Raw genomic sequence first — 12,849 nt, 5'->3', positions numbered from 1 at the left:
GAAGTCAGCTCATATTGTGGCTGAATATTCCTGTGCAAGCTTCTTCAGCTTTCTGGGTGTGGATGTCCGCATGTGGAAAATGACAGATGCTATGAACACAGATGAAATGAGCAGATTCTACAAAGAACCCTATCCTTGCACATGCTAAGGACCCAGGGCAGGTCTCCTATTTCAGTTGTGAGCCCTGCCACCCTCCCTGAAGTCAGCAAATGCCAGGCCCACCCTGAGGAGAGCTGGAGCTCTGAGCCCAGGCCATGGCCTCTTCATGGCCCTGAGTGTGCTGTGAGGGGGTGGAAATGAAAACAAGACCCACCATCAGGATTCAGACACGTTTTTCAGACCTACAAAGGATGATTTTTCTCTCCGTCAGCTGGTGAGCCTGACATGATTTAAGGGTGGTTGGAGGCTGAGTGAACCAGTGAATGAATGAGACAGTTGTGGGAGTGAATGGGGCTCAGAGGAAAAGCACAGGTTCAGAGGGGAGCTGGAGTGGAGGTTGTAACCCCCAGGGTCCTGAGGGTGGCAGCATCGAGGTTGTAGACCTCATGGCTGGCACAAGTTGGTAATACTTTTTTTGTCTTTTTTTTTTTTTTTCTTGAGACTGAGTCTTACTCTGTTGCCCAGGCTGGAGTGAAGTGGGATGATCTCAGTTCAGTGCAACCGCCTCCTCCAGGGTTGAAGCGATTCTTTTAACTCAGCCTCCCAAGTAGCTAGGATTACAGGGCCTGCCACTGTGCCCAACTAATTTTTGCAATTTTAGTAGAGACAGGTCTCACCATGTTGGCTAGGCTGGTCTTATAAACTCCTGGCCTCAGGTGATCCACCTGCCTCAGCCTCCCATAGTGCTGGGATTACAGGTGTGAGCCACTGAAACTGGCCAAGACTTGGAAATTTGTATGCCCACCTGGGTGTCCACAAAGATTTTCCAAGGAAGAGTAACTTGGTTTTCAACCAGTCTGGGGGTGCTTCAACAGGATAGAATCTTCTAGAAAAACATAGCATAATGATGGACAGCATAATGATAGACTTCAGCTGGTTTGACTGAGCCTAGAGTGCACCAGGGCCAAACGAATCTTGCCTTTTTTTTTTTTTTTTAGACAGAGTCTCTCACTGTCGCAGGGGCTGGTGTGCAGTTGTGCAATGTCGGCTCGCTGCAACCTCCGCCTCCCAGGTTCAAGAGATCCTCCTGCCTCAGCCTCCCCAGTAGCTAGGATTACAGGTGCCAGCCAACACACCCGGCTAATTTTTTTGTATTTTTAGTAGGGACGGGGTTTCATTATGTTGGCCAGGCTGGTCTTGAACTCCTGACTTCGTGATCTGCCCGCCTCAGACTCCCAAAGTGCTGGGATTACAGGCATGAGCCACAGTACCCAGCCGAAAATCTGTGCTTTAAACAAATAAGGAACGAGTCTGAAAGTGGGAATGGAAATGGGAAAAGATAAGGGGGCCAGGAGGAAAGAGAAGGAGAAGAGAAAGGTTGGGGTCTGAAAGGGAACAAGAATCCAGACATTTCTGGACCCATGGCCTGGAGTTGCAAGTGGGCGGGGTGGGGCCACTGGAGCTGTGACAGCCTTGAGGGCCGGGGTGACTCACACAGGGACCCTCTGCTTCCTCCAAGCATATCACACCCTGGGCTCCAGGTCTCCAGTGGCACAGGTGCTGGCGCAGAGTTGGGTGTTTGCCTCCAGCCTCTACTCCTGCTACCAGGCTGGTCCGGAGTGGGTCGGATCAGTGAGTTCCAGGCTGGACCCTAAGCAGGGGTCGTGGGCCAACATGGGAGATCTTGGACTGCAGGGGTGGGGGGTCAGGAGGAAGGGAGGCTTCTGGAAGTTTCTAAAGGTCTCCCTGGAATTTAATGTGGCATTGCTAGCTGGAGCCAGCTTGGCATGGGGAGAGAGATGTGGGACTGATGAAAAGCGTGCAGCCTGATTTAAAGCCAAACCCTGAGCCCTTTCCAAGAACAATAAAGCATATTGTAGTCGCTAAAAGAAACGAACGAACAAATAAAGTAGCCTTTCTTGGTAGATACCTTCCATTTTTAAGCTTTACATTTAACATTGCCTTTTGAAAATAGTGTATATTATTTGATATTTTAAAATCCAACCTGGGAGTTTCACTGATTTATGTGATGAGTTTAGCAATTCAGCTTTATTGTAATTATTACTGTTTAGGATTTAGCTATGCCATCTTTTTTGTTTGTTTGTTTTAAGATATGGGATCTCCCTCTGTTGCCCAGGCTGGAGTGCAATGGCGTGGTCATAGCTCACTGCAGCCTCTAACTCCTGGGCTCAGGCCATCTTACTGCCTCAGCCTCCGAGTAGCCAGGACTACAAGCATGCGCCACCCACTGGGCTAATTTTCTATATTTGTCTGTAGAGATGGGGTCTGCCTATATTGCCCAGGCTGGTCTTGAACTCCTGAGCTCAAGCGATCCTCCCACCTCAGCCTCCCAAAGTGCAGGGATTACAGGCATGAGCCACTGTGCCTGGTCCACATGTATTTATTGTGTTTTTTAATGCTGGCATTTCCCCTCCATACCTGTGTTCCATTTAGTATACTGAGGGTTTTTTTCTGTTGGTTTAAAAGTTATACATTCTAGTTTTCTTCTCAGGGTGGCCGCCGTTAACCTATGACTCATACCAGTATGTGTCACATTTATTGGTATTATTGGTTTTGTTTTATTCCTAATTTTAGAAGTCTCAGCATGTTTTCATATCCCTTTCACGTGCCACCTCCAGCCCCATTTTCCTGATAGCTTTCCTAGCTGTAATTCTCGGTTATTCTTAGCTATACTTCTTTGTTTCTATGATCCCAACTTCACATTTCCCCTTGTTGTGAGATAACAGTAATCTGGAATAGATTCCTTGGTCACTTGTCCTCCTCGGTTCTCTTGTCGCATCACCTGTGTTTCTCTTGCTATTGAGGTACCTTCCTCTAAACTATTTCCAACTTGGATCTTTAGGAGGCAAATATCCTTCAAGTTTTCTGTTTTGAATATTTCTGATACACCATGGTGGGCAGGATTTGGAAGCTGCCCCCTCAAGTTTCCTGTACCTTTTCTAGAACGATATGTTCTAGAAAAGACTGATGATAGGACAACTAACGGCTGTCTTAGCCTGCTTGTTTGAGCCTGGTGCATACCAGCGGCAGGAAAATCCAGTATTTTAAGCAAAGAAAACATGATTATGAAAATGGGAATGGAAATGGGAAAGGAAGGGGGGCCAGGAAGAAGGGGATGGAGAGAGTGAGGGGTGAGGGGCCTAGAGAAACCAGCTGCTCCTAGTCTAGGCACCGCTAGTCTAGGTACTGTGAGTATAGGTACTGCTAGTCTAGGCTCTGTACAGTCATCATTAAAGTTACTAATCAGTTGACCTTAAAATAGAGAGATTTTCCTGGATTCTCTGAGTGGGCCCAGTGCCATCACATGAGCTCTAAAAAGCAGAGAATTTTCTCAGGCTGGAGCCAAGAAATATGCGTCCAATGTCAGAGAGATTCTAAGCATGAGAAGGATTCCATGCACTGTTGCTGGCTCTGAGATGTGGGGGCCATGAGCAAGACTGGAGAGGGGCCTCTGGGAGTTAGGGAAGGGCTGCAGCTGACAGCCAGCAGGGAAGCTGGGACCTTAGTCCCACAGGTCCAAGGACTGGATTCTGCCATCAACCTGAGTGCACTTGGAAGCAGATGCTTCCCAGAACCTCCCAACCAGAGCCCAGCAGGTGGACACCTTGACCTTGACCTTGAGGAACTGGGAGCAGAGAAACCAATCAAGCCATCTCAGACTTGCAACCTAGAGGACTCTGTGAAATAATAAAGATGTACTGATTTAAGCAGGTAAGTATGTGGCAATTTGTTATGGCTGCAACAGAAAAGATACCTTCCTATTTAAATGAGAATTTGACTGGATAAAAAATTCTAGGCTCAAGTTCTTTTCCTTTATATTTTAGAAAGAATACTCCGTTGTTATCTTGCAACCAGGGTTGCTGTTGTGTAGTCTGTTGGCCAAGTGTTTCCTTCTTCCTTCCATTGTTTCTCTGGGGTAATTTGGGTGAGGGAGCCAGAAGCCTGACCTTATTTCCTGTCTTCATCCAGTGGATTTGTACTGTTCTAGGCTGTTAGTCACAGTCTCAAGGAGGTGGAGAATGGTTTCTAGTTTAACCTACCTTTCATAGATGCACTTGTAGATCGGACAAGCTTATTGTTTTTCTCTTATTCAGCTACTGTTAGTCTTCTCTCCTATCGCCTTTCATAAATATTAAACTTACTGAGATATAATTTACAGACAATACTCCTTTGTGAACATAGGAGCTTAAAGTCTCTTATCTTTAGGAGTATATTGAAACTTGTAGGCATTTGGCCGTATTATAAGGCATGTTCCCAGGCTATAAATGTTAAACAGATGAATGATATTACTCCAGTCATGTATCATCTTACCAACCTGTCAGTTCTGTAGAAAATCACATTTCTAGCATTACTTGCTTCAGGTTTGCAGAAGAGAAAAACAACAATGTTTTCACTGAACATTGGCTTTTAGACAAAATGAATTCTAGGACTATATTAAATTCATTTTTACTTCCTATTCTTTCTATATTTTATAGGTTTCATAAAATCAGCCCACAGTCTTAAATTTATTATAATTTTGATAGATATCTTAGTAAAATACTCCATCCCTTTCAGTTATTGGAAACATTAATGAATTCTAGGCTTAAACAATAAATAGCACATTGTAGAACAGCAGTGCTGTTTCAAAACTGAACTCAGTTGAATTAATCAGGCATGACAAGATATTTTTATGATTCTGACAGAAGCTTAATGAACAATGTTGAATAGATTTAAACACTTTTTTATAATATATCTAAATGGTGTGAATTATGGTAACACTGCCTTTGAGAAGAAATCATCAATTTTGGATTTCACATACAGGATGGCACCCTAGGAAAACGTTAAAAAGTCAGGAGAATAGTACCTTTAAGACTGGAATTGACTAATGAAAATATACATTACCAGGGAAACCTCCTGGGATGCCTCGACATTTACTTGTGATGTGAGCGTTTTCCTGCCTAGAAACAGCAAAACTGACTGTTTAGCTCTAACGGGCAGGTCCCATGTGACATAGCAACAACAGAGCAAGAAAACCAGGAAAATTTTTTGCTCAATGATTTTTTTCATTATTTTAAAGCTATTGAAACATAGTAAGCATAGTTATTTGTAAATCCCTGCCTGATAACTCTGATATTTTTTATTTTATTTTATTTTATTTTTTGAGACAGAGTCTCACTCGCTGGCCAGGGCTGAAGTGTAGTGGCATGATCTCGGCTCACTGCAACCTCCACTTCCTGGGTTCAATTGATTCTTGTGCCTCAGCCTCCTGAGTAGCTGGGACTATAGGCATGCACTACCATACTGAGCTAATTTTCGTATTTTTAGTAGAGAAGGGGATTCACCAGGTTGGTCAGGATGGTCTCGACCTCCCGACCTCAGGTGATCCACCCACCTTGGCCTCCCAAAGTGCTGGGATTACAGGGGTGAGCTGCCGCGCCCGGCAAGATCATTCTAAAATCTAAAGCTGCAAAGTCTAACCCAGCAGTTACTAGCTACATGAGGCTATTAAGAGCTTGCAATACAACTAGTTTAAATTGAGAAGTACTGTCAGTATATGGTGCACACCAAATTCCAAAGGTTTAGTATGAAAATGTCAAATGTCTCATTATTCATTTTTCCATTGATGACACGTTGAAATAATAATTTTGGTTAAAAAAAATTTAGTTAAAACATATTGAGTTAAAAATGTTGTAAAAATATATTTCACCTGTTTCTTTTTATTTTTTCAATGTGTTCACTAGAATATTTAAAATTCCCTGTGTGGCTCACACTTGTGGCTTGCATTATATTTCTATCAGAGGACTGATCTAGAGGTTCCATGTATTTTCTGTCTCTGTTGCACATTTCAGCTGGTTCCTGTTATTGCTACCTTATCTCCCCATGTGGTTGGTTATCTTTGTCTATGTTCTGAATACAGTGTTTTAAAAATTGCTCTTGACAGAATATAAAGTGTAGGATGGGCTGGGCATAGTGGCAACCAGGGCGAGCCATTCTGCCATGCTTGGGAATTGTGCTACTCAGGAAACTTTTCTCATCACCACCCCAATCCTGTCCCAGATGGGAGGAGCAGTGAGTGCTGTGCCTAGGCTCCCTGTCTTCCCAGTGCTCCCAGCATCACACCAGCTCCTCCCCAGTTGCTGTGGGGTCCCGACTCTCCATGTTCACCATGCTCCCAAAATTGGCTCCCCATCTTCACTGCCCACCAAGCATCGTCCCTGCTCCTCCAGGGTCACTGCCTGACCAGGTGGGGGTTGGGTGAAGAGGCAGAAATCAAGACAAGACACCTGGTCCAGTTTGACTTCAGGTTCTTCACTGAAACGTGACTGCATTCCACATCCTGTTCCTCTGGCAACCTCAGCTGGGACCATGTGTAAGGCAGTGTAGAATCTTGGCGGGTGATGACCAATATCTGCCACCATGGCTTTTCAGCTATATTGATTTTTCCTAAAACGGACAAACAGACTGGCAATAAGTTATGGAAATACTGTTTTCCTTACTAACAGTAGAGATGTGTACATGTATCAGTGCTGGTCTTTAAAACAAATATAAGCCCATAGGCACTCTGCTGAACGCAGATCCTATCTCAAAATAACACACTTTCAAGATCTTCCAATACCTGCACATACAGATTCTTTTCCTTTTTATCTCTGCACATTACATAGAATGACTGCATCACAACAAATGTTACCAGTGTCTGTGTCTGAAGATCCAGACGGTCTCCAGTCAGTTACTTTTAGAAAAACTAAATGCTGCAGAAACTGTGCTTGCATGAATCTCAACTTAATTGTGTAGAATAGATTTCCAGACACAGAATTGTTGTGCAAATTAATGCACCTTTAAAGCGTCTCATGTCACGGATGGCAATGCTGGCGACACTCTTGTCTGTGATTGTGATGACCCAGCTTGGGCAGAGGATGGTGAAACATCCACTATAGCGGGAGGGGAAACTGAAGGACAGGGAGACAGGTTTCATCAAGAGCAAAAAATATCCAAGTCTGAATGAAGAATATCTATACATATGCGTTTGAAATGGCATAAAGACTCCCTGGAAAGATTCAAAGAATCCAATCATGTCTCATTCCGGGCTGTGGCCAATGAGAGTGGACGAAGGCAGGGGCGGGGGAGCCTTTCGCACATGACTTTTCATGGTTTCGATCCTGAAACACGTGAAAATATGTAGGTGAAGAAGTAAGAAAGAGTGGGGCCGGAGCCCCAGGGAGGGTCACCGGATGGGCTCGCCTGATCTGTTGTGGGCCCCGAGGGTCCTGGGACGCGGAACCCAAGCAGGGGCGCGCGGGGCTGCCTCAGTGACGAGGCACTGGTTCTAGATATTTACCAAACGGTGTTGACACACCGGGGATGTTATAGGCGATTGCTGATTTCAACCACAGATGACTTTGGGGGAAAGTTCGCTCCTGGGGGTTTCAGTTTCGACCCCTCCGCGTCCATTCTGGCTTCTGCGGGCTCCGCCAGGGCGTCCGCTTCGCCCGAGCTCCGGACCCAGGTCCTGCCCTGTGGAGACCCCGGAGTGGGTGCGCCGCTGCCGGCCGATACCCCCGGGCCTCCGGGTCCACAGCGTCCGGGAAAAAACGGCCTTTCGAAGACCTGGGATGACTCGCTGGTCGCGGCAAGGGACCCTTGGTTCCCGTGTCAGAAGGATCAAGGAAATGCGGGGCCTGTTGGGGTGAGGAGCACGAGGTCCCTCCTCCATCCTCGCGGGGACTTTGTCACCGGCTCAGTGTGTAGACCTCACCGTCCCACTCGAATCTGTGGGGCTCCGACAGTGTGGGCCCCGCGAGGACCCCCATCCTCCTTGCCCTGGGGCCGCTACAGGAGGGCGCCGGGACGCACTAGGTCCTGAGTGTCCAGGGTCCGGCAGGGGCGTCAGGTTGTCGCCTCCTGGATCCCGCCGCTCGCGGTCCAGGGCTCCTGGTTTCTACGCTGGGCTGGGGACCCGGAGCATGCATGTCGTGGGGCGGAGAAAACCTTGGGATGGTTGGAAATGAAGGACGGGAGGGAGAACCAGAGAAAGGGAGAGGAAGGAAGCAGGGAGGGCCAGAGAACAAAGAGAAACCTCCGCCAGGAAAATGGGAAGAGGATGACACAGGCACAGCCCTACACTCCACCAACTCTCAGTCTCCTGCTCTCTGCCTTGTAAGGAACGCAGGCCCCACCCCCTCCAGCCTCACAGTGTTTGGGGTCACCCATTCCAGCGGGGTGAGGCGTCCCCTTGTGGGTGCTGTTGGCATTTCCCTGAGGTCTGTGGACACTGAGCACCTTTTCCTGGGCTCACTGCCATTTGCATTCTTCTTCCGATGCCAGTGGGCAACCGGTGGTCCCCAAACTCTGATGAGACCTCGACCCCAGCCGGTGTCGGGCTCTTGACACCGCCTGGGGAAATGAATTCTAGGACCAGTAGGAAAATAGAGAAAAGACGGAGATTTTTTTGTAAAAGGGAAAGTACACACTCGTGTAAAGGGAATGCAGGGGAACTCAAGAGAGAGGCAGGTGCAAGGGGGTTTGGGGCTGCCACCTTTCCTGGTTTCTTCAACCAAGGGATGGAATATTCATGAAAATTCCTGGAAGAAGGACAGGGATTCTCAGAACTCTGGTGCCTCGAATTTTTACACCAAATATGGGCATTCTCAGAACTGCTAGGGAGCTGGCTGGTATGTGTTTATTATGTTTATCAGCATGTAATGAGGTCCCAGGTGAAACCTAGGTCAAATCCAGGGCCATGTTGGATCCACTCATTCTTAGTCACCTTGGTCCACATGCTGTTTCTCAGCAACTTACCAGCCCAGAGCTGCTGCAGATATTTCAACAGATTCCTTTTGCTAGTCACCTGAAACTGCTGCCTAAAATTTCCTATTCTTTTGAGACCACCGTGTAGTATACCTGTCTCACTTTGGAGAAATGTCTATTCAAATTCCTTGCATATATTTAAATTGGGTTACTTCATTTTATAATATTGAGTTGCAAGAGTTCTTTTATGTTCAGAATAACAGTCCCTTACCAGATACATGATTTTCAATTATTTTCTCTCATTCTGCAAGTTTTCTTTTTACCTTCTAAATGGAGTCCTTTTTGAAGCACAAAAGTTTTACATTTGCATAAAATGAAATCAAACTACCTTTTATTTTGCCATTTTTGCTACTGGCCTACAGTAGTTAAGCATTTGCCAAATCCAGGGTCACAAAAATTTACTGCTCTATTTTCTTCTGAGACAATCATAGTTTCATGTCTTAGCTGGACATCTGCCATTCATCTAGAGCTAGTTTTTGTGTGTGCTGTAAGGAAGGGGCCCATCTCATTCTTCTGCATGTGGCATCCAGTTGTCCCAGCACCATTCACTGTAGTGTAGGATGCACCTGCCCAACCTTCTGTCCCTCCTCCTGCACTTGGGGTCAGAAGTGCGTCCTGCTGAACGGTTCTCCCAGGGTTTCCACCAATGAAATCCCCTCATGTGAATCCCATGTAGGCATCTACTTCTCAGAGGACCTGGACTAAGGAGTGGGTTTACCAGAGGAAATCATATTTCATGAGATGGAACATTCTGGGAATACTGGCACTCAGCATACCCCTTTCTACATCAAAAGAAGGACATTGCATGATATGGTCATTTGGGTCCCACAAGTCTGTCAACTTAGCTTATTTGTGTTTAATTTGTTTTGTTATTTCTTCTTCTGTTGTTGTTTTGTTGTTGTTTTCTTTGAGACAGGCTCTCACTCTGCCATCCAGTCTGGAGTGCCGTGGCACCATCTCAACTCCCTGCAACCTCAAACTCTCAGGCTCAAGTCATCCTCCCACCTTAGCCTCCTGAGGGGCTGGGACTACAGTCACATGCTACTACACCTGGTTAATTTTTAAAGTTTTCTGTAGAGACAGGGTCTCACCATGTTGCCACGGCTGATCTCCAACTCCTAGCTTCAAGCTATCCTCCAGCATTGGCCTCCCAAGGTTCTGAGATCACAGGCATGAGCCACCACTACTGGCCCAAAAAGTTATGGCATTTTAGTTTTACTTTTCACATGGTTGTATGACATTATGTAGATTTTTAAAATTCTGTATAAGTAATTTGGGCAATGCTATATAATAAAATGTTTTCTTTAGCCACAGCTTCCTGAAAATAGGAGGGGCATTAAAATGCGCATTTGTCAAATCTTGAAGAAGTTTCAAATCTTTAGGGTGATTCTGACCTCTCATCTTGGTTGACACAATAATCCATAAAAACAAGTAAAGCACCCACTGTGATCTGGAAGGGGTAGGGAGATGAAAGTATTGATAAGCCAAAGTGACAGCCTCTTTGGTAGAAATGATCCTGCCTATATATCTCATGCCCCACAAAAGAGGGTCCTGAATTTGCCACTTCTCCAGAGCTCCATGCAGTCCTTGAAGCACTCTCTGGCTGTCTCTGCAAGTTGCTGAACAGCTCCTCCTGCTTTCTGTGGGGCCGCGGAGGCTGCAGGTCCCCTAGGCCCAGGGGTTGTCTTGCGCACCTGGTCCCACCAAGGGTGCACCCACCACCATGGGAGGTGGAGGGGACCAGGTATAGCTGCTTCTGCCCCTACTCCTCTCCTGACCAGCCAATCTTAATAGGATGAAGGAGTAGGGATGAGTGGAGCCATGGAGGTTGGTGCTGGAAAGAACAGAAATGAAGACCTTTGTCCAATCCCTTAAATTATGTGGATCCCTGTCTGAGTACTAGCAGCCCTGGGGTAGTCCGATGATTGGATTCCTCCCATGCATTTTAAACCCCATAGTATGGCAACCATTGTGCTAGGTGCTGGGTTTACATGTGGGTGATGGATGTGTCCGGTCCTCAAGTCACTTAGAATCGAGGGACAGAAACAAACACCCACATGGCTGCTGCTGCTGATGTGATGTCCTCGCCGCCATTGGGGCTATCGGGGGGCAGAAGAGGGGGTAACTCATTCTGCCTGGAGAGTTGCATGGAGGCTTCTCAGGAGATGGCATTTCAGACTGTTCTTGTAGGCATAGGAAGAATACAGCGTGGCCAGGTGGCCTCGAGAAGACAGGGCATCCAGCAGATGGACAAGCATGAGGAGGAGGCCTGGGGATACAAATATCACAGAACTTTGGAGAGCTGTGAGACGTCTGCACTAACGAACCCTCAGTTACTGGGGTAGACTCTTTCCACAGGGAGGAGGGAATGTCAGAAGACAGGGAACAAGGGGTGGGCAGGAACCCCCCCTGGAGTCCCTGTCTCCCTCCATAGCAAATCAAGCAGAAAATCAATTCACCATTCATATATGCATGTTATCACACACACACACAGACACACATGCACACACACAGAGACATGCAGGCACAGTCACACACACACACTCACACCACACAGGCACACACACACACAAACAAACACACATACATAAATGCATGCAGAAATACAGACACAGCCATGCACATACACGGGCACACACAAAGACACATAGAAACACACGGGAGAAACTGCCTGTCATCTCGAAAGCTGTCATGTCGAGCCCATCGTGCCCATGCACCTTTTACCTCGGGGGCTGTCTCCCAGCTAATGAAGGAGTTCTGAAGCCATCAAGCAGGCAGTCACTGTGTGATCTGAAACACTCAGAAAGCTCCTCACTCTGACCTATCTTCCTAGTCCCCTTGGGATGAAGCAGCGTCCTGTTGGTTTTCACTGCAGCAGAAGAGAATCCTCCCCCGGGGCAGAAATGCTGGGCCACCAGACCACACCCCTCTGCTCTTTGCCCTCAGTGCCAAAGAGCTCAGGGCACAAACTCGCTGTCAGCAAACCCTCCCGACTTATTGAAATATTTGAAAAATAAGCAGTGCTGTCTGCTGGAAAACACTATAAAGTACCAGTCCAAGGTACTTCATAGTTCCAACATCAGACTATGCACCATTACAGGTTACAGGTATGCACCACCACATCTGGCTAATTTTTGTATTTTTAGTAGAGACGGAGTTTCACTATGTTGGTCAGGCTGGTCTCAAACTCCTGACCTTGTGACCTGCCCACTGCGGCTTCCCAAAGAGCATTTTTTCATGTTTGTTGGCCACTTGCATGTCTTCTTTTGAAAAGCGTCTGTTCACATTCTTTGCTTATTTTTTAATTGCAATTTTGTTCTTGCTTGTTAAGTTCCATGTAGATTCTGGATATTAGAGCTTTGCCAGATGCATAGATTGCAGATATTGCTCCCATTCTATAGGCTGTTAACTGTGTTGCTAATTTCTTTTACTGTGGAGAATCTCTTTAGTTTAATGAGATCACATTTGTCAGTTTTTGTTTTTGGTTGCAAATACTTTTGGTGTCTTCATTATGATATCTTTGCCAGGCCCTATGTCCAAAGTGGCATTTCCTAGGTTATCTTCCAGGATTTTTATAGTTTTAGGACTTACATTTAAATCTTTAATTCATGTCGAGTTATTTTACATATATGGTGAAATGTAGAGGTTCAGTTTCATTCTTCTGCACATGGCTAGCCAGTTATCCCAGCACCATTTGTTGAATTGGGACTCTTTCCCATTGCTTATTTTTGTTGATTTTGTTGAAGGTTAGAAGGTGTGAAGGTTTCTTTCTGAGCTCTCTATTCTGTTCCACTGATCTAAGTGTCTATTTTGGTACCAGTACCATTCTGTTTCGATCACCGTAGCCTTATATTATAGTTTGAAGTCAGGCAATGTGATGCCTCTGGCGTTGTTCTTTTTGCTTATGATTGTTTTGGCTATTTGGGCTCTTTTTTAATTCCAAAT

At 46.1% G+C, this 12,849-nt stretch overlaps 3 annotated features.

The window, feature by feature from the left end:
* Positions 3,966–4,260: a silencer, noted in NCBI's record as "tiled region #14768; K562 Repressive non-DNase unmatched - State 22:ReprW". NCBI's record gives its function as "represses a minimal TATA promoter and a strong SV40 promoter by Sharpr-MPRA in K562 cells {active_cell/tissue: K562}" and the evidence as "EXISTENCE:reporter gene assay evidence [ECO:0000049][PMID:27701403]".
* Positions 6,904–7,875: an enhancer, noted in NCBI's record as "H3K4me1 hESC enhancer chr6:150275654-150276625 (GRCh37/hg19 assembly coordinates)". NCBI's record gives its function as "activates a minimal SCP1, AML or CMV promoter by ChIP-STARR-seq in naive H9 embryonic stem cells {active_cell/tissue: H9 hESC(naive)}" and the evidence as "EXISTENCE:reporter gene assay evidence [ECO:0000049][PMID:30033119]".
* Positions 7,876–8,848: an enhancer, noted in NCBI's record as "H3K4me1 hESC enhancer chr6:150274681-150275653 (GRCh37/hg19 assembly coordinates)". NCBI's record gives its function as "activates a minimal SCP1, AML or CMV promoter by ChIP-STARR-seq in naive H9 embryonic stem cells {active_cell/tissue: H9 hESC(naive)}" and the evidence as "EXISTENCE:reporter gene assay evidence [ECO:0000049][PMID:30033119]".

This window comes from Homo sapiens, chromosome 6 (assembly GCF_000001405.40).
Source record: "Homo sapiens chromosome 6, GRCh38.p14 Primary Assembly".
Lineage (NCBI taxonomy): Eukaryota > Metazoa > Chordata > Mammalia > Primates > Hominidae > Homo > Homo sapiens.
Note: the sequence above shows the minus strand (reverse complement) of the source record. Positions and strands in the feature narration are given on the sequence as shown.